General features: G+C 44.7%; 1 protein-coding gene and 1 pseudogene across 5 annotated transcripts in view, besides 1 other annotated feature; one reads left to right on the forward strand and one right to left on the reverse strand.

Moving 5' to 3' along the window:
• On the forward strand, positions 269-2,850 carry WBP11P2 (WBP11 pseudogene 2; annotated as a pseudogene).
• Positions 7,765-7,965: a silencer, noted in NCBI's record as "peak3852 fragment used in MPRA reporter construct". NCBI's record gives its function as "represses an SCP1 promoter by STARR-seq MPRAs in K562 erythroleukemia cells {active_cell/tissue: K562}" and the evidence as "EXISTENCE:reporter gene assay evidence [ECO:0000049][PMID:32103011]".
• ERCC3 (ERCC excision repair 3, TFIIH core complex helicase subunit) overlaps positions 9,856-21,355 on the reverse strand; it is a 36,855-nt gene continuing 25,355 nt past the window's right edge. For all 5 annotated transcript variants that reach the window (NM_000122.2, XM_011510794.3, NM_001303416.2 and 2 more), the window contains 3 exons: positions 13,794-13,912; positions 11,862-12,014; positions 9,856-10,293 (listed from right to left, as the gene is read on the reverse strand). In NM_000122.2, coding sequence (NP_000113.1) covers positions 10,162-10,293; positions 11,862-12,014; positions 13,794-13,912 — 404 coding nt within the window. In that variant the 3' untranslated portion in view covers positions 9,856-10,161. The remainder of the gene's footprint in view (positions 10,294-11,861; positions 12,015-13,793; positions 13,913-21,355) is intronic.

Here is a 21,355-nt window from a genome sequence, read left to right on the forward strand (position 1 = left end):
GTTTCGCTCTTGTCGCCCAGGCTGGAGCGCAGTGGCGCGATCTCGGCTCACTGCAACCCCCATCTCCAGCAATTCTCCTGCCTCAGCCTCCCAAGTAGCTGGGATTACAGGCGCGTGCCACCACACCTGGCTAATTTTTGTATTTTTAGTAGAGATGAGGTTTCACCATGTTGGCCAGACTGGTCTCGAACTCCTGACCTCAGGTGATCTACCTGCCTCGGCCTCCCAAAGTGCTGGGATTACAGGCGTGAGCCACTGCGCCCGGCCAGAGCTGCGTTTTTAAAAATGAAGGATCCCAAACAGATTACCCGGGACATGGAGAAACTGGATGAAATGGAGTTTAACCCACTGCAACAGCCACAATTAAATGAGAAAGTACTGAAAAACAGGCGTAAAAAACTGCGTGAAACCTTTGAACATATTCTATGACTATGAAAAAGAAAATCCAGATATTTACAAGGACTTGAAAAACTAGAAGTAGAGTATGAACAGAAGAGGGCTCAACTTAGGCAATATTTTGATGCTGTCGAGAATGCTCAGCAAGCGGAAGTGGAGAGCATTCTTTTGCCAGATGTGCCGCGTGCTCCTTCCAACATTTTGATCCAGGACATTCCACTTCCTGGTCCCAGCCACTCTCCATCCTTAGGAAAACCTCAGCCTATGGACCTCCAACTCGGGCAGTTTCTATCCTTCCTCTTCTTGGGCATAATGTTCCACGTTTGCCCCCTGGCAGAAAATCTCCTGGCTCTTCCCCGGCCCACCTCCTCCTCAAGTCTTGCACATGTATGGCCGTAAAGTGGGTTTTGCCCTAGATCTTCCCCTTCGTGGGCGAGATGAAGAAGACATGTTATATAATCCTGAACTTGCCCGGCAAGGTCACGGTGATGATGTTTCTAGCGCCAGTGAAGATGATGGCCCTTCTGAGGACAAGGACCAACATAAGCATGGTAACAATACTGATGATGGTGACACCAACAGATCAGATGGAGAAAGTGGGAGGATGAATTGTGTACCGTGATGATGGTGAGAGAGACAGCAATGAAGAAAACAACTCAGGTCTGAGTGTACGGTTTGCAGAGATGCCTGGAAAATCAAGGAAGAAAAAGAACATGAAGGAGTTAAGTCCTCTTCAAGCCATGATGCTTCCATGGCAGGTCAAGAAGTCCCTGAGGAGGGAACAGAAGTAGAGGAATTTTCAGAGGACGATGATGAAGATGATTCTGATGACTCTGAAGCAGAAAAACAATCACAAAAACAGCATAAAGAAGAGTCTCATTCTGATGACACATCCACTGCTTCTTCACAGACAGGCGTCTGCCACCCAGCTAATTTTTGTATTTTTAGTAGAGACAGGGTTTCACCATGTTGGCCAGGCTGGTTTCGAACTCTTGACCTCAAGTGATCCTCCTGCCTCGGCCTCCCAAAGTGCTGGGATTATAGGCATGAGCCACTGCGCCTGTTCCTGCATTTACCTTTGAATCAGCAATCCCTCTTCTAGGAATTCACCCTGAAGATACACTTCCAACAGTAAGAAAATCCATTTGCACAAGGTTTATTATTGAAGCATTGTTTGCAATTGCAGAATAATTTATACATCTTAAATGCCACACACGTGTTCCTCTTTCTCAGATACAAGCACGTCCCATCCCAGGACCACCATCTCTTGGACCACCACCTGCTCCACCATTATGGCCTCTTGGGCCAGCTATGGGCCTTCCTCTTGGCCCACCTCCAGGAGCTCCTCCATTCCTGAGATCACCTGGAATGCCAGGATTCTGAGGGCCTTTACCCCGACTTTTTACCTCCAGGACCAACACCAGCCTGACCTGGCCCTCCCCCAGGTCCACCTCCAGGTCTGCCTCCTGGTCCCCCTCCTAGGGGACCCCCACCAAAAGTACCTCCCCCTGCACCTCTGGGTGTTCCTCCACCTCATCCTGGCATGATGCGCCCACCATTGGTACCTCCACTTGGACCTGCCCCCGCTGGGCTTTTCCTACCAGCTCCCTGGCCGAACCCTGGGGTTTTCAATGCACCGCCCAACTTGATTCAGTGGCCCAAGGCAGATGATATGATTGCAGCCACCATTGAGAAGAAAGCCACAGCAACCATCAGTGCCAAGCCACAGATCACTAATCCCAAGGCAGAGATTACTTGATTTTTGCCCACTGCACTCACAGTACATCAGGAGAATAAAGGGGCTACTGCTGCTCTCCAAAGAAAGTCAGAGGGGCTGGGCACTGTGGCTCACACCTGTAATCCCAGCACTTTAGGAGGCCAAGGTGGGGAGATCACCTGAGGTCAGGACTTTGAGACCAGCCTAGCCAACATGGCGAAACCCCCCATCTCTACTAAAAATACAAAAATTAGCCAGGCATGTACACCTATAGTCCCAGCTACTCAGTAGGCTGAGGGAGGAGAATGGCTTGAACCCAGAAGGTGGAGGTTGCAGTGAGCTGAGATCGCACCACTGCACTCCAGCCTGGGTGACAGAGCGAGACTTTGTCTCAAAAAAAAGAAAAGAAAGTCAGAGGATGATTCTGCTGTGCCTCTTGCCAAAGCAGCACCCAAATCTGGTCCTTCTGTTCCTGTCTCAGTACAAAGTAAGGATGATGTCTATGAGGCTTTCATGAAAGAGATGGAAGGGCTGCTGTGACAGCTTTTGATGCCCGAACAGGATTTTGTTCACAACAGTGGCCCATGGAGAAAGAGGCTCTTATTAAACTTAGAAGAAAGAACCGCTTCCGTTGTCAGGGTGTTTTCTAATTTCAGTTCAAGGAATATCCTAAAATATAGCCTTGTTCAGAATTTACTGCACAGAAAAGAGGGTATTTCATTCAGAATAGATCAGTTATTGAAGCAGTGCTGCCAACGTCCATTCCCTTTCACACCACCATTTTCACCCTGTTTCTTTCCCTTCTCCAGTTCTTTGGAAATTTGTGATCAGGGAATCTTAGTTACTTATTTGTTTTGACTCTCTTCTTGTGTGCTATGGGCACTGGAGTAGAGATTTCTGAAAAACCAGTTTATCTCATCTTGCCTTTTGTGTTTCAGTTATTTTTAATACTTTCCTGTAAATATTTTGCAATATTTTACTTATAGTGAAATGGATCACAATATAGTTTCCTAATACAAAGCAGGATATGTGGGAAGAAAATGTACAATTCTTTGATTAAAATTATTTCCCACTGAACTAAACTTTGATTCATGGGAAAAATAAATAAATGTTCTACACCAAGAAAAAAAAACTACATACGCATTTACCATTTTTGTTTTGTTTTGTTTTTGGTTTTGAGACGGAGTTTTGTTCTTGTTGCCCAGGCTGGAGTGCAGTGGCATGATCTTGGCTCACTGCAACCTCTGCCTCCCAGGTTCAAGTGATTTGCCTGCCTCAGCCTCCCAAGTAGCTGGGATTACAGGCGCCCACCACCACGCCTGGCTAATTTTTTGTATTTTTAGTAGAGACAGGGTTTCACCACGTCAGCCAGGCTGGTCTCAAACTCCTGACCTCAGATAATCCACCCGCCTGGGCCTCCCAAGTGCTGGGATTACAAGCATGAGCCACCGCATCTGGCCTGCTGTTTTTGTTTGTTTGTTTTGTTTTGTTTTAAGATGGAGTCTCACTCTGTTGTCCAGGATGGAGTGCAGGGGCAAGATCTTGGCTCGCTGCAACCTCTGCCTCCTGGGCTCAAGGGATTCTCCTGCCTCAGCCTCCCAAGTAGCTGGGACTACAGGCATGTGCCTGGCTAAGTTTTGTATTATTAGTAGAGACGGGGTTTCACCATGTTGGCCAGACTCGTTTCGAACTCCTGACCTCAAGTGATCCTCCTGCCTCAGCCTCCCAAAAATGCTGGGATTATAGGCATGAGCTACTGTGCTTGTCCCTGCATTTACCTTTGAATCAGCAATCCCACTTCCAGGAATTCACCCTAAAGATATACTTCCAACTATAAGAAAACCCATTTGCACAGGTTTATTATTGAAGCATTGTTTGCAATTGGAAAATAATTTAAACAACTTAAATGCCACACATCTAACAGTGCTTAAATGAACTATGGTACATTTGCAGAATGGGCTACCATGAGGTTGTAAAGAATGAGGAAGACCTCAATGAATTGATAAAATTTCCAGAATTTATTAAAGAAAGACAAAGTGCAAAGGATTATCTACAGTATAATATCTACTGTGTAAGAAAGAAGAAAAAATAAGAAGGAAAAATAAGAAAATACATATGTGTCTGTTCATTTCAGCAAAAAAGAAACACAGGCAAGATAAACCAGAAACTGAAATTAGATACCTACAAGGAATGTCAAGAAAGGGATGAAAAACACAAAGGAAACAGGGATAAGAGAAAGGCACTTTCCTAAATATAACTTTTTGTGCAGTCTAGACTTTGGAATCATGTTAGTGTTTTACATGCTTAAAAGAGAAAAATAAATAAAATCGGCCAGGTATGGTGGCTCGCACCTGTAATCCCAGCACTTTGGGAGGCCGAGGCGGGAGGATCACTTGAGGTCAGGAGTTAGAGGCAAGCCTGGCCAACATGGTGAAACCCCATCTCTACTAAAAATACAAAAATTAGCTGGGTGTGGTGGCACACACCTGTAGTCCCAGATACTCGGGAGGCTGAGGCAGGAGAATCACTTGAACCCAGGAGGCAGAGGTTGCAGTGAGCTGAGCTTGTGCCACTGCACTCCAGCCTGGGTGGCAGAGCGAGACTCCGTCTCCAAAAAAAAAAAAAAAAAAAAAGGTTTTCTCAGAGAGATGTTCGGATTTCATTTTGGAATTTAAATATGTTCTTCAGATCTTCCTTGTGCTCTGACCTAATATATGGAGAAATCAAACAGGAAATGGAGGCAAAAGCAGTTTGGGTGAATTCCCCAAGGTCATATAGTAAGGTACAGCCCGCCACAAACTAAGATCCAGTCTTCCAATTTCTATACTGTTTCTTTCAGTCACACAATATTGCATCACAGAATGCTAGGGCATTTTTGAATGGTGGCGCGTGCCTGTAATCCCAGCTACTCGGGAGGCTGAGGCAGGAGAATCGCTTGAACCTGGGAGTCAGAGGTTGCAGTGAGCCAAGATCACGCCGCTGCATTCCAGCCTGGCGAGAGATAGAGACTCCGTCTCAAATAAATAAATAAATAAGAAATCAACAACGATAAGGACAATCTTATACAAACTAAAGTTTGATACAAAAAGCCCCAAATGAATGAAACTGCTCATCAAATGAACAACATAACCACATTGAAGGATGGTTGGGGAAAAAACACAAGCAACACAAGATTAAGTCTCTATGCCGTCAGGTTCCAAACCCAAACATCCCTAACACAAAGTTAACTCTAATTAAAATTAGAGTTAAATGAAAATTAGAGTCATCTAATTAGAACTCGAATTAAAATTAAAATCTAATTTTCACAGAGGCATAAACTAACAGGTCTGAAATGACTTTCGTACATCCTATAAGGGAGCAAATAAGAAAATATTAATATATTGTGTAAAATGGGAGCCAGTTTTCTCATTGTCAAAGAATGAAGTTGTGAACATAAAATAGATGATAAAATAAACCTTGTGGGCTGCATGCAGTGGCTCACGCCTGTAATCCCAGCACTTTAGGAGGACAAGGCGGGCGGATCACTTAAAGTCGGGAGTTCGAGACCAGCCTGGCCAACATGGTGAAACCCCATCTCTACTAAAAATACAAAAAATTAGCTGGTCATGGTGGTGGGTACCTGTAATCCCAGCTACTCAGGAGGCTGAGGCAGGAGAATCACTTGAACCTGGGAGGCGGAAGTTACAGTGAGCCGAGATTGTGCCATTGCACTCCAGCCTGGGCAACAAGAGCGAAACTCCATCTGAAAATAAATAAACAAATAAACCCTGTGTAGAGATTTCAGTGTGAACTCATGGGGATAGATAGATAGAAAGATACTGTTGGAATGGATATAGATGTAGGAGGATATGTAGGTGTGTGTATACACACTTATATAATGCTACTTCTATCACAGATCAAGTTCTCAGTAATATTTTTCTAGGCTCTGTATTCCATTCCACTGGTATATTTTTCTGTTCCTGTGCCTACTGCACTGTTCTTATAAATTCTCTTTGATATTTTTGTTTCTTTATTCTTTGACATTTATTTTACCATTAGTTTGTACGTTTCCATGAAAAATCTGGTTAAGAATTTGATTTAAAATAGGTTAAACCGGCCAGGTGCCGTGGCTCACGTTTGTAATCCCAGCACTTTGGGAAACCAAGGCAGGAGGATCACTTGAGCCCAGGAGTTCAAGACCAGGCTGCGCAACATAGTGAGACCCTGTCTCTACAAAAAATTTAAAAAAAAAATATTAGCCGGGCATGATGGCAGGTGCCTGTAGTCCCAGCTACTGGGTCGGACTGGGGTGCTGAGGCAGGAGGATCGCTTGGGCCCAGGAGGCCAAGGCTGAAGTGAGCTTTGATTGTGCCACTGAACTCACCTGGGTGACAGAGTGAGATCCTGTTTAAAAAAAAAAAAAAAAGATTAAATTAATAGGCTAATACAGGCAGAATTTACATATTTCATAAGATAATCCCTAAGCATTGCATATTTTTATGCTATTGTAAATAGTATTCTTGTTTCAACTTCCAAATGTTTGTCTCTAAGTATATAAAAAGATCATTGATTTTTTTTTTTTTTTTTGAGACAGAATTTTGCTCTTGTAGCCCAGGCTGGAGTGTAGTGGTGTGATCTCAACTCACTGCAACCTCCGCCTCCTGGGTTCAAGAGATTCTTCCACATTAGCCTCCTGAGTAGCTGGGATTACAGGCGCCTACCATCACACCTGGCTAATTTTTTTTGTATTTTTAGTAGAGATGAGGTTTCACCATGTTGGCCGGGCTAGTCTCAAACTCCTGACCTTAGGTGATCCACCTGCCTCGGCCTCCCAAAGTGCTGGGATTACAGGTGTGAGCCACTGCGCCCGGCCAATTGATTTTTTTTTTAATGTATCAATATTGTATTCTGCAATTTGTATTCACCCTTCCTCCATCCTTTTGTTCTGTCTGGTCCCTTGATGGGTATATGAGGCCCACCCACGTTGGTGGGGGTGGATCTGAGTCTACAGCTTCAAATGCTCCTCGTTCCTGGAAACATGCCCACAGACACACCCAAAAATGCTTAACCAGTGACCTGTCATCCCTTAACTCAGCTGACACCTAAAATTAACCACCACGTTTTCCAAATATTTGAGGGTTTTCCAGACTCTTTTTCTATTGATTTTTAACTTAATCACACTGTGGGCACAGATTACAGCTTGTATGGCTTAAATACTTACCAATGTACTTTCCAATGGACTTGTAGGGCCTGAAATTGATTCCGTCTTGGCAAGTGATCTGTGTATTTGAAAATAATGCTTATACTGCTGTTACTCAGTAGAGAATTCTGTAAACGTCAATTAGGTCAAGTTGGTTAATAGCATTGTTCAAGTCTTCTATATCTTCATTGATTTTAGTCTACTTATTCTAGAAATCTACAGAAAAATTTCCTAGAACTGAGTTTAGCATGACTGAGGAATGATATATAAAAACTGATATATAAAAATGAATTATATTTTTATATACTACCAACAGACATTTGGAAATTTAGATAAAAACTTGTTACATGATGTCAAATAAAAAATCTGGAACTCAAGTTCACAGAATAGACAATGTTAAGAAAAATAAGAAGAAAAAATCTGGACTTAGTAAAGGGAGACTTTATTTGAAAGGATTGTTGCAAAGTGGTGGGGAGGGGTGTACTATTGCAGCAGGGAGAATGCACTGAACATAAGATCTGTTTGTCTCAGGGTTAGACAAAAGGGGTTTTCTTTTATAGGGAGGGGAAGCAAGTAAAAGACAGGAAGTGGGATGAAGGGGAGTAGCATGGTGGGACAGTAGATCCAATCAGTGACTTACCCTGAGTCCAGTCTATTCTCTCGAGGGGTGGAGGGGAGGGTGAGCCAAAGTTTGTAAAGCAAAGTCTGGTTCACAAGCATTTTGTTCCCATTGATCACTGGGGACAAGCAGTTTAGCTAATTTATGAGGCAAAGAATGGGAATTTGGAAGGCCTGTGTCTGGCCTCGACTGGGGTCTTCAAGGGGAGCATTCATGAGTCATACCAGGAAGGATGGTTCTCTGCAGTAAGCCATTTTCCAGAACACCAAGGACAAGGGATTCCTTTAAATGTATCTATTTCCTAGGATCACAGTGCTCAGGTAAAATTCAACATTGTCAGTAGACAAGAAAACAGGGGCCAGAAATGTGAAAATACAGGAAATGCTCAGTATTGTTTGAGGATCTCAAGTGTAAAGGCAAGACAGGAGGTAGACTGAAAAGAGTTACAGTCAAGTTTGAACATTTGAGTGCCGACCCATCAGGGTTACATGACAGGCGAGTCTGTGGGCTCAAGCCCGCACCTCAGACAGGGCTGCTCGGGCCCCCTACTCCTAGCGAGGGCCCTGTTGCTGGTTCCTGGGGCTTGCACTGATAGTGGCTAGATGCCTGGCAGCACCAGCTACTGACCAGACTATGAGAGTGTGTTTGTCACCAAAAGGTCAGCTCAGAGAGGCGGTATGTGGGGCAGGTGGCTCTTGCTTCAAAGCCCCCTGATAAGAGAGGTATTAGGTTGGTGCAAAGGTAATTGTGGTTTTTGCCAGTAAAAGTAATGGTGGCCAGGTGTGGTGGCTCAAGCCTGTAATCCCAGCATTTTGGGAGGCCGAGGCGGGCGGATCACAAGGTCAGGAGTTTGAGACCAGCCTGGCCAATATGGTGAAACCCCATCTCTACTAAAAATACAAAAAGTTAGCTGGGCGTGGTGGCGGGCGCCTGCGGTCCCAGCTGCTTGGGAAGCTGAAGCAGGAGAATCGCTTGAACCCGGGAGGTGGAGGTTGCAGTGAGCCAAGTTCGCACCACTGCACTCCAGCCTGGACAAAGAGTGAAACTGTCTCAAAAAAAAAAAAAAAGTAATGGCAAAAGCTGCAGTTACTTTTGCACCAACCTAATACTTTCTTCTCCTCAGTCTGTGGCTGCATCACAGAGAGTAGCCCACCTGTGCTAGAGCTGAGGACAGGAAGCTGCTGCCGAGCTGTGGGGATGGGGAGGGACTCCACTTGGAAGCCTTATGTAGCCAGGGTTTCAACACTCCCCAAGTGTGAGCGCTGTTTCCTGTTACAGGCAGAGTGGGCTTCCTCCTCAGAATCACAAGTCTTTCTGCAAGGCGAATATGCCTTATGTGTGCCTACCTTTCAAGAAGCAATCCTACCTGGCCTGTCTATTCCTCAACACCTTTGCTTTCATACCAGGAACATAAAAGAAAAGCCCAAAGCCATTAAAAATAAAGGAAGTAGCAATTAAAACACCCAAGGGCACTAAACTGCTATTAGAAGAGGAATCTAGCCTCTCAGCAATTTCTAAAAACGTACTTTGAGGGAGAAACAAGAGGTCACTCTCTCAGAGAAGATGAGGCACCAGGAGCCAACCTGGAAGGCCTTCATGACGTGGGTGTCTACCTCGGACGAGGCTGTAGGAACAGCTGTGACCACCAGAACAGCAGGAAGCTGTGCGGTTGAAGCCCCAGTCTGAATCCACCAGGCTAAGCTGTGAGCAGGGACCACAGTCAACTACCCAGGCTCTTCCCTCTGGCTGGATCACCCTCCCCGTTCCCCAGGCCTTTCCTGCCAACGTTTCTTCTATCTCAGGGTACATCTCTCTGGTAGCTCCCTGGGGATGGGCTCCATCTTACTCATCTGTGCTTGCTACAAAGTAGGGCCTTGATGGAGGTTGGTCATCCAGACATAACCCATGCCCAGGACGAAGCATAAAAACACTTGTACAATGAAGACTGGTTCAATGGTCCATTCTGTTTATTCAGAACGGTAACATAAATACACCTTAAATATTAACATTTTTTATATACAGAAATGACCCCACTCCCCAAAAAGTTTGAAAAAATATTGTCTCCTCCTCCTTTATAAAACCCTAGATGACCTATGAAGGCACAGCCAAGCCCTTGATGCATCTTCCTCAGCACAATTTGGCCAACGCTGGAGGGAAGGTCAAAGAGGTGGAAGGAAAATGTTATGCTGAAAATCCCTTTCCAACAAGGGTGCCAAGCGCCGGTCTTGAACGAAGTACCCTGCCTAAGCATCATTTCCTAAAGCGCTTGAAGAGCGGGTGTACATGTTTGCTGGGCGCCTTGCTCCGCGATGAGTGGTACTCCATGTACACAGTGTCGTCGGCCCCAGACATAGAACTCATGGTGCCAAAGCGCCGAGATGCCTGCCGGGAAGGGGGAACCAGCCCATGTTAGTCTCCAGAAGAAAAGATACTCCTTTTATAATACTTATAATCACAGCAAATTTTATAAGACTTACATAAATTTAATACATCATTTTTAATAATGTTTACAGATCGCTTACTGTCTCAGGCATTGTTCTAAGCATTTTACATGCATTATCTCCTCTAATCCTCAAAACTACTATAATCCACACCTGAAAGAAGAGGAAACTGAGACACAGAGAGATTAACTAACCTATCCAAGATCACATAGCTCTTAAGGAGATGGGATTTGAACACCCAGGTAGCCTGGCTTCAGACTGTTCTTAACCATAATGCCACACTACCTCACTTAATAACAACTTCTGAACAAACTTTTTTTTTTTAAGAGAGAAACAGGGTCTCGATATGTTGACCATGCTGGTCTCAAACTCCTGGACTCAACTGATCCTCCCGCCTAGGCCTCCCAAAGTGCTGGGATTACAGACATGAGCCACCATGCCTGGCCTGAACAGAATTTTTTAACAGTTAGGGCAAAAGTTCCTTAAAATCTCCTGAGACACCACCATAAGGCTTTGAATCAAGTGGAAGGACAGAAAGCCCTGGGCTTGACTCTTGGCTCCTCCTGTCCCTGAGTAACCCTGAGGCAAGTAATTAATGTCTGCACCTCAATGACCTCATCTGTAAAATGGGGATAACCACATCAGTGCTGACATTGCTATCCTGTGAGGAGAATGAACCAGGCACCTCCTTAAAACCAGTGAGAGCAATGAGAGCACTCTCCTGGGTTCCCATGGAGAGTGCCCCCTGGGTCGGGGGAGGAAAGCCTTAGGCTGGAGGGAGGGCAGCCCCTTCCCAGGGACAGCTGTTTCCTTCTTGCCTTGGTCCAGCAGTTGCTCACCTTCCGGCTCTAATGGCAACTGAATTTCAAACGCACCTGACTGAAGTGCACTTCTCCCCTTGGACAGGCCTGCTAATTCTCCATAATGATGCTCTCACTAATTAGACCATATATTTACTTGGCCTAGAGCAGGCATATTTGTAGAATAAATGAAAGGTTGAGTATTTTCACAGAACTCTACATTTTTCAAAGTTAAGTATCGAAGCTACCACAAGAGTTGATCCTCAGAGCAGTCTTAGGGGCTAGAGGGCTCAGCTTTATCACTGAGGAGGAACCAGAGGAGAACTGTGTGGCCACAGCCAGGGATGGCAGCCCTGTGTGTGGGAACTACGTACCCCCAGCCCATCATGCTCCCTCCAGTCACCACCAAGGTGAGCTGGGGTCACCTGCTTGCCATCCTGGGCTTCAACATCAAGATTTAACAAATACTCGTGTGAGCAAAGCAGGAGACCAGTCACAGCCACTGTGAGCTCAGCTGTGTGCAACAGTACAAGGGGCACACACCAAAAGGGCAACAAGGATTGTTTCTGTTCATCTCTTCCGTGTTTTCCAACATTTCCAAAAAAATCCCATGGGCCCATCCAGGCAGGACTACATGTCTGTGTCTGTGTCTACAAACGCTGCCCTGTGAGAGCACTGACACCTGGAACCTCCTCACCCATTTACTCACCTGGCTGGATCTGGAGCCAAATTCCCCAGCCACCACCTCCTCCTCGGCATCCAGGTCAGTGGCTGCCAGGACTTTCTGTAAGAGCTGCTGTTGCTCTTCTTTTGTCGAAAACGCCAAGTCTTCCTCCTCCATGCCAGCGAGTTTCGTGATCACCTGCAAAGCCCAAGCCAGCAGACATGCCCCTTTCTGCTCTCTCTCCCCAGCCCTCCTCTGCCTTCTCCTGGGTCCACCTGCTTTGGTCACTTCCCTCCCCAGGCCCAGCCACCCTGGTGGCCAACAATGGAGAGCTCCTCCCTAGCATTCCAGAGACCAGCATCAGGAGCCGCCTTTAACAGGGAGCTTGACTAATGATCTCAAGACCAGAGGGATGCAGGAATTTCAGAGAAATCTGCCCCCAGCACACAGCATCTAAATGATCATGTATGGAAGATCAACAGGAAGAATCTTAGTGATTTTAAAAGGCTCCTTCGGGTAGCCTTCACATCTTGGAGCAGACAAAGGAAGGGACAAGTGACTGGAAGGCACAGGCTGTGGCCCTTTGTGAAGGTCCCTGGCATCTGCTGTGCTCCGCAACTGGGGCTTCCAGCAGGAATGAGCACGTGAAAATGAAAATGATAGGATATCAGGAAGATTATTTATAGAGCTTCTCTGAGAGAGTAAGAACAGCATGGTGGAGACTGGGTTTTCATTTCTATGGGGATAACTTACTACAAGGGCTCCCTATCCCTGCAGAAAACTTGGGTTGATTCTGTAAAGGGAATTCTCCTTCCCTCCAATTCTCATAATGTTCATTAAATGAAAATTCCTAGAAGTAAGGATCTGAGTCCTTCTGGGCCAGGGATCCAGAGTACAGACGATGTGCACATCTGCCCAGGCCCAGCCACTCCACGTCATGACTCTGGGAACTCCAACCACTGCTCCTCAACAGGCAGCACCGAAGACACAGCTCCAACCAACACAAACTACTACGGCATGGCATTGTGCCTTTTTGTCGAGGTCACCTTTCAAAGAATTGCTCTTTCTGACCTGGTGCTCCTCTTACCCTCACAGCTCGGCAGGAATCAGGAGGTAGGAATGCTATTACCAACAGGGATTTTCATGGATGGATAAAAAGGTCATGATGCAAATCCTCCAAAAAACTGGGCTCAAAACCCAAGCATCTTGTCCTCTAGGCCAGCATGAGAGGTCTGAAGTGTCACTGCCTCTAGCTAAAAGAGGGAAGGTCAGACAACCCTGTCCTCCTAAGGCCAATAATGGGAACTCTCACCAATGCATAAAGAGACACATTAAAAACGTATCTCAAAAGGCAGCCTGGATTGCAGTCTTTTGCAATCAAGAACCTGGGAGTCTAATGTTCTAGGGATGTCCTTTTAGTGGACCATAGGGGGAATTTAATTCCCCTACTTCTAGAACCCTCCATCTATCCCCAAAATATAAAGCCCTCTGGACACCAAATACTGACATAAACGTAATATTTGTGTAACAGGAAAGAAAGCAAATGCCTCAGCCAGTGAAAGTTAGCCAAAGCTTTAGAATTTCCCAATTATTAAAATACCTGATTTGTAGTACAGGATAGCTCTGATGTCTGGGAGGCAAACTGAGGCAAACTAAGGCCTGGAGCTTACCAGCTGATGAAAGGAAGAGCTCTCCTAGCTACCTAGAGAGGCATCCCTGAGAAAGCAGCCCTGCGGGGCTCAGATTCACACAGTGCTGGTCATAGTGCCATGGCACCTCAGTCCTGCCAGGACGGCACACTTTCCACCAACAGCTGCCCTCAGAGATTCATGCAGAGATAAAGGGAGTTTGAGGCAAGGCCTCTAATCTCCTAATGCTTGGTGCCTGCCTGCTGACAGTGGCCCTCGCTTCTCCTGGAGGCCAGGGTATCAAGAAGGCCTTGGTCCTAGTCTAACCAGAAGCCAAATGGATATGTACCTTGAAGCTATAACCTTGATCTACCAAGAATCTCTGCCGCTTGGTTGAGTAAGCCATTTCCTGTGTGTCCTGGGATACCAGTGAGTAGAAAAAGGCATTGTACTCTTCTGCAACCATCCCTGCAGGAAAAAATGAGAAACGGCAATAAAGAAGACAACATTAGCCATTAGAATGCCAAGAGCTAAGGGTCCCAGGCTCAAAAGCAAGCACTGGAGTGGAAAAGCCCTGCACTCGGGGTTACCACCTGAACTTGGCATGGGATTGCATCAAAATTTGGAAGTCTTTTGTGCTTCCAAGGACACCATCAAGTGAAAAAACAATCCTCAGAATAAAAAAATGTGGAAAGCATATATCTGATAAGGGATTTGTATCTAGGTTATACAAAGAACTGTTGAAACTCAACAACAAGACAAATTAATTATAAATGAGAGAAGAATATGAACAGATTACTTCTCCAAAAACAATATAAAAATAGCCAGTAAGCACATGAAATGATGCTCCACACCATTAATCACCAGGGAAATGCAACTCAAAAGCACAATGAGATTATCACCTCACGCCCCTCTCCGAGGATGGCTACAATCAAAAAAGCAGATAACTGCCACTGTTGTCAAGGATGTGGAAAAACTAGAACCCGCATGCATTGCTGTTGAGAATGTAAATGATGCGGCTGCTTTGGAAAACAGTCTGGCAGTTCATCAAAATGTTAAACACACTGTTATAACCACATGACCTGGCAATTCCACTTCCAGGCATAAATCCAAGAGAAATGAAACTATATCCACACAAAAATTTGTACATGAATTTCATAGCAGAATTCTTCTAAGAGCCAAAAAGTGGAAACAGCCCAAATGTCCATCAACAGATGTGTGGATAAATAAAATGTGGTATGTCCATGGAATCGAATATTATTTAGCAATAAAAAAGAATGAAGTACTGACAGATGCTACAATATAGATAATCTTTTTGAAAACATTATGCTGCCGGGTGTGGTGACCCAGTCCTGTAATCCCAGCCCTTTGGGAGGCTGAGGTGGGCGTGGATCACTCAAGGTCAGGAGTTTGAGACCAGCCTGGCCAACATGGTGAAACTCCATCTCTACTAAAAATAGAAAAATTAGCCAGGCGTGGTGGCTCATGCCTGTAATTCCAGCTACGCGGGAGGCTGAGGCAGGAGAATCCCTTGAACCTGCGAGGCAGTGGTTGCAGTGAGCCAAGATCGCCCCACTGTACTCCAGCCTGGGCGATAGAGCGAGATTCCATCTCCAAAAAACAAACAAACAAAACATTATGCTAAGTGAAAAGAAACCAGTCACAGAAGGCCCCAAGTGGTCTGACTGCATTTACATGAAATGTCCAGAAAAGGCCTACAGACATCAAAGTAGATTAGGGGCTGCCTAGAGCTGGGGGTTGGGAACAAGAGGAAATTAGGAGTGGCTGTGCATGGATGAGGGTTTCTTTTGGGAGCTGATGAGAATATTCTAAACATGAATTGTGTTGATAGTTGCACAACTTTGTGAATATTGTATTTCCTAGGTTTTCTTCGAGGATCCTTATAGTTTGAGGTCTTACATTTACATCTTTAATCCATTATGAGTTGATTTTTGTATGTGGTGATAGGCAGGGGTCTGGTTTCATCCTTCTGCATACAGTTAGCCAGTTTCCCCAGCACCATTTATTGAATAGGGAGTACTTTCCCCACTGCATATTTTTGCCAATTTTGTTGAACATCAGTTGGCTGCAGGTACATGGCATTATTTCTGAGCTCTCTATTCTGCTCCATTGGTCTATGTGCCTGTTCTGTACCAGTACCATGCTGTTTTGGTTACTGTAAGCCCTGTAGCATAGTTTGAAGTTGGATACTGTGAGGCCTTTGGCTTTGTTCCTTTTGCTTAGGATTGCTTTGGCTATTCAGGTGCTTTTGTGGTTCCAGATGAATTTTATAAGTTTTTTTTCTAATTCTGTGAAAAATGATGTTGGCAATTTGATAGAATAGTGTTGAATCTGTAGATTGTTTTGGGCAGTTTGGCAATTTTAATGATATTGCTTCTTCCAATCCTCAAGCACAGAATGTTTTTCCATTTGTTTCTGTCACCTATGATTTATTTCAGGAGTGTTCTGTAGTTATTCCTAGGTTTTGTCTTTTGTTTTTACAGCTATTATAAATTGGATTGTGTTCTTGATTTGGCTCTCAGCTTGAATGTTACTGGTGTATAGAAATGCTACTGATTTTTGTACATTGATTTTGAATTCCGAAACTTTACTCAAGTTGCCTATCAGGTCTAGGAGCCTTTTGGTGGAGTCTTTAGGGTTTTCTAGGTATAGAATCACATCATTAGGGAAGACAGATAATTTAACTTCCTTTTTTCCTATCTGGATGCCTTTTATTTCTTTATCTTGCTAGACTGGTCTGAGTAGAACTTTCAGTACTATGTGGAATAGGTGTGGTGAGGGTGGGCTCTTTGTCTTGTTCCAGTTCTTTTTTTTTTTTTTTTCTGGGGGACGGAGTCTCGCTCTGTCGCCCAGGCTGGAGTGCAGTGGCGTGATCTCGGCTCACTGCAAGCTCCGCCTCCCAGGTTCATGCCATTCTCCTGCTTCAGCCTCCCAAGTAGCTGGGACTACAGGTGCCTGCCACCACGCCCGGCTAATTTTTTGTACTTTTAGTAGGGATGGGGTTTCACCATGTTAGCCAGAATGACCTAGATCTCCTGACCTTGTTGTGATCCGCCCACCTCGGCCTCCCAAAGTGCTCGGATTACAGGCAAGAGCCACCGTGCCCGGCTGTCTTGTTCCAGTTCTTAAAGGGAATGCTTCCAGCTTTTGCTTACTTAGTATGATGTTGGCTGTGAGTTTGTCATAGATGGCTTTTATTATTGTGAGATATGTTCCTTCGATGCCATTTGTTGAGGGTTTTTATCATGAAGGAATGTTGAATTTTATCAAAAGCTCTTTCTGGGCTGGGCGCAGTGGCTCACACCTATAATCCCAGCACTTTGGGAGGCCAAGGTGGGTGGATCACCTGAGGTCAGGCCTTCAAGACCAGCACTGCCAACATGGCGAAACCCTGTCTCTACTAAAAATACAAAAAAATTAGCTGGGCATGGTGGTGCGTGCCTGTAGTCCCAGCTACTTGGGAGGCTGAGGCAGGAGAATAGTTTGAATCTGGGAAGCAGAGGTTGCAGTGAGCCAAGATTGCACCATTGCACTCCAGCCTGGGCAACAAGAGCAAGACTCTGCCTCAAAAAAACAAAAAACCTTTTTCTGTGTCTATTAGGATAATTATATGCTTTTCATTTTTAATTATGTGGTGAATCATATTTATTGATTTCCACATGTTGAACCAACTTTGCATCCCAGAAGTAAAGCCTATTTGATTGTGGTGAATTAACTTTTTGATATGCTGCTGGATTTGCTTTGTCCTCATTTTGTTACAGATTTTTGCGTCTGTGTTCATCAGGAATACTAGCCTGTAGTTTTTTCATCGTGTCTTTGCCAGATTTTGGTATCAGGATGATAGTGGTTTCGTAGTATGAGTTAGGAAGAAGTCTCTCCTCCTCAATTTTTTTGAATAGTTTCAGTAGAACTGAATACATCTGGTCCAGGACTTTTTTAGTTGGTAGATTTTTTTTTTTTTTTTTGGAGGCGGAGTCTCACTCTGTCACCCAGGCTGGAGTGCAGTGGCACGATCTCAGCTCACTGCAACCTCCACCTCCAGGGTTTAAGCAATTCTCCTGCCTCAGCCTTCCACGTGGATGGAATTACAGGCACACGCCACCAAGCCCACCTAGTTTTGTATTTTTAGTAGAGACGAGGTTTCACCATGTTGGTCAGGCTGGTCTGGAACTCCTGACCTCAGGTGATCCACCTGCCTCAGCCTTCCAAAGTGCTGGGATTAGAGGTGTGAGCCACCATGCCTGGGGCCATATTTTTTTTTTAAATTACTGATTCAATTTCTCCTTATTGATCTGTTCAGGGTTTCAATTAATTTCTGATTCAATCTTGGGAAGTTGTATGTTTCCAGGAATTTATCTATTTCCTCTAGATTTACTAGTTTGTGTGCACAGAGGTATTTTTAAGTCTCTGAGAATCTTTTGTATTTCTGGGGATCAGCTGTGATGTCACCTTTGTCATTTCTGATTCTGCTTATTTGGATCTTCTCTTTTCTGTTAATCTAACTAGCAGTCCATCAATCTTATTTATCTTTTTTTTTGAGACGGAGTCTCGCTCTGTCACCCAGGCTGGAGTGCAGAGGTGCGATCTCGGCTCACTGCAGCCTCTGCCTCCTGGGTTCACGCAATTCTCCTGCCTCAGCCTCCTGAGTAGCTGGGATTACAAGCATGCGCCACCACATTCGACTAATTTTTGTATTTTTAGTAGAGACGGGGTTTCTCCATGTTGGTCAGGCTGGTCTTGAACTCTTGACCTTGTAATCCGCCCACCTCGGCCTCCCAAAGTTCCAGGATTACAGGCATGAGCCACTGCGACTGGCCTTATCTATCTTTTCAAAGAACCAGCTTTTTATTTCATTGATCCTTTGTATTGTTTTTGAGTCTGAATTTCATTTAGTTCTGCTCTGATTTTAGTTATTTCTTTTCTTCAGCTAGTTTTGGGATTAGCTTGTTCTTATTTTTCTAGTTCCTTCAGGTGAAATCTCAAATTGTTAATTTGAAATCTGTCTTCTCGATGTAGGTGTTCAGTGCTATAAACTTTCCTAACAATACCTTTGCTGTACCCCAGAGATTTAGTATGTTGTATCTGTTTTCATTTGTTTCAAATAATTTTTGATTCCTGCCTTAATTTGTTTATCCAAAAGTCATTCAGGAGCAAGTTGTTTAGTTTCTATGTAATTGTGTGGGTTTTTTTTTTTCTTTTTTCTTTTATTTAGCGATGAGGTCTCGCTATGTTGCCCAGAATGGTCTTGAACTCCTGAGTTCAAATGATCCTCCCACTTTGGCCTCCCAAAGTGCTGCGGTTACAGGCATGAGCCACTGTGCCTGGCCAATTGTGTGGTTTTGAGAGTTCTTCCTGGTACTGATTTCTACTTTTATTCCACTGTGACCCAAGAAAATGCTTGGTATGATTTCGACTTTTTTGAATTTATTGAGTCTTTTTTTTTTTTTTTTTTTTTTGAGAGAGTCTCGCTCTGTTGCCCAGGCTGGAGTGCAGTGGCGCGATCTCGGCTCACTGCAAGCTCCGCCTCCCAGGTTCACGCCATTCTCCTGCCTCAGCCTCCCGAGTAGCTGAGACTACAGGCAACTGCCACCACACACCCGGCTAATTTTTTGTATTTTTAGTAGAGACGGGGTTTCACTGTGTTAGCCAGGATGGTCTCGATCTCCTGACCTCGTGATCCACCCGCCTTGGCTTCCCAAAGTGCTGGGATTATCGGCGTAAGCCACCACACCCTGCCGAATTTATTGAGACTTTAATAAAGTCGAGCATAAAGTCTCACATTGCTTTATGGCCAAACACATGATCAATTATTTTTTTTTTTTTTTTTTTTTTTTGTGACAGAGTCCTGCTCTGTTCCCCAGGCTGGAGTGCAGTGGCATGATCTTGGCTCACTGCAACCTCTGCCTCCCGGCTTCAAGTCAGTTCTCCTGCCTCAGGCTCCCGAGTAGCTGGGACTACAGGCGCATGCCGCCACACTCAGCTAATTTTTGTATTTTAGTAGAGACGGGGTTTCACCGTGTTGCCCAGGCTGGTTGCAAACTCCCGAGCTCAGGCAATCTGCCGGCCTCAGCCTCCCAAAGTGCTGGGATTACAGGTGTGAGCCACGGCACCAGGCCCATGTGATCAATCTTAAGAGTATATTCTGGGGGCAGATGAGAATATATATTCTGTGGTTGTTGCGTAGAGAATTATGTAGATGCCTATTAGGTCCAATTGGTCAAGTGTTGAATTTTAAGTACAGAATTTCTTTGTTAGTTTTCTGCCTCTATAATCTGTCTCATGCTGTCAGTGGGGTGTCAAAATCTCCTACCATTGTTGTGTGGCTGTCTAAGCCTTTTCCTAGCTCTAAAAGTACTTGGTTTATGAATCTAGGTGCTCCAATGTTGGGCGCATATATATTTAGGATAGTTAAGTCTTCTTGTTGAATTGAACCATTTATCATCGTGTAATGACCTTTTTGTCCTTTTTTACTGTGGCTGGTTTAAAGTCTCTTTTATCTGATGCAAGAATAGTGACCCCCTGCCCCACTCTTTTTTTTTTTTTATTTGTGTGATAGATTTTTTTCCCTATCCCTTTACTTTGAACCTATGAGTCCTGTTACATGTGAGAGAGGTCTCTTGAAGACAGCAGAAGGCTGGGTCTTGTTTTTAATCCAATTTGCCACTCCAAGTCTTTTAGGTGGGGTGTTTAGGTTGTTTACATTCAAGGTTAATATTGAGACATGAGGCTTTATTCCTAACATGGTGTCATTAGCTGGTTGCTCTGTAGTTTGGATTGTGTAGTTGCTTTACAGGGTCTGTGGGCTATGTGCTTATGTGTATTTTTGTGGTAGCAGGTGTCACCATTCTTTCATTTCCATGTTTAGAACTCTCAAGACTCTCTTGTAGGGCCAGTCTGGTGATAACAAATTCTTTTAGCAGTTGCTTGTCTGGGAAAGATTTTATTTCTTCTTTGCTCATGTAGCTTAGTTTGGCAGGATATGGAATTCTTGGTTAGGATTTTTCTTTTTTATTTTTTTTCTTAAAGAGACTGGGTCTCACTATGGTTTTTTGGTTTTTGTTTTTTTGTTTTGAGACAGAGTCTTGCTGTTGTTGCCCAGGCTGGAGTGCAATGGTGCAATCTCGGCTCACTGAAACCTCTGCCTCCTGGGTTCCAGCAATACTCCTGCCTCAGCCTCCTGAGTAGCTGAGATTATAGGCACCTGCCACCACGCCCGGCTAATTTTTGTATTTTTAGTGGAGATGGGGTTTCACCATGTTGGCCAGGCTGGTCTGGAACTCCTGACCTCAGGTGATCCACTCACCTCAGCCTCCCAAAGTGCTAGGATTACAGGTGTGAGCCACCGCGCCTGGCCTGTTTTTTTGTTTGTTTTTGTTTTAAACAGGATCTTGTTCTGTTGCCCAAGGTGGAATACCGTGGTGAGATGTCAGATCACTGCAACCTCTGCCTCCCAGACTAAAGCGATTCTCTTGCCTCAGCCTCCGGAGTGGCTGGGACTACAGGCGCACACCACCACACCCAGCTAGCTAATTGTTGTATTTTTTGTAGGAACAGGGTTTCATCATGTTGCCCAGACTGGTCTCAAACTCCTGAGTTCAAGCAATCTGCCTACCTTGGCCTCCCAAAGTGCTGGGATTACAGGTGTGAGCCGCCGTGCCCAGCCAGGATTTCTTTTCTTTTCTTTAAGAATGCTAAAAACAGTCCCCCAATCTCTTCTGACTTGTAAAGTTTCTGCTGAGAAGTCTGCTGTTAGCATGATGAGTTATATGACCCTTTCTCTAGCTGTCTTTAAGATTCTTTCTTTTGTATTGACCTTGGAAAGTCTGACGGCTATGTGCTCTGGGGATGATCATCTTGTACAGCAGGAAGAGTCATTCTCACCCTCGATCT

This window comes from Homo sapiens, chromosome 2, assembly GCF_000001405.40.
Source record: "Homo sapiens chromosome 2, GRCh38.p14 Primary Assembly".
NCBI classification, from domain to species: Eukaryota; Metazoa; Chordata; class Mammalia; order Primates; family Hominidae; genus Homo; species Homo sapiens.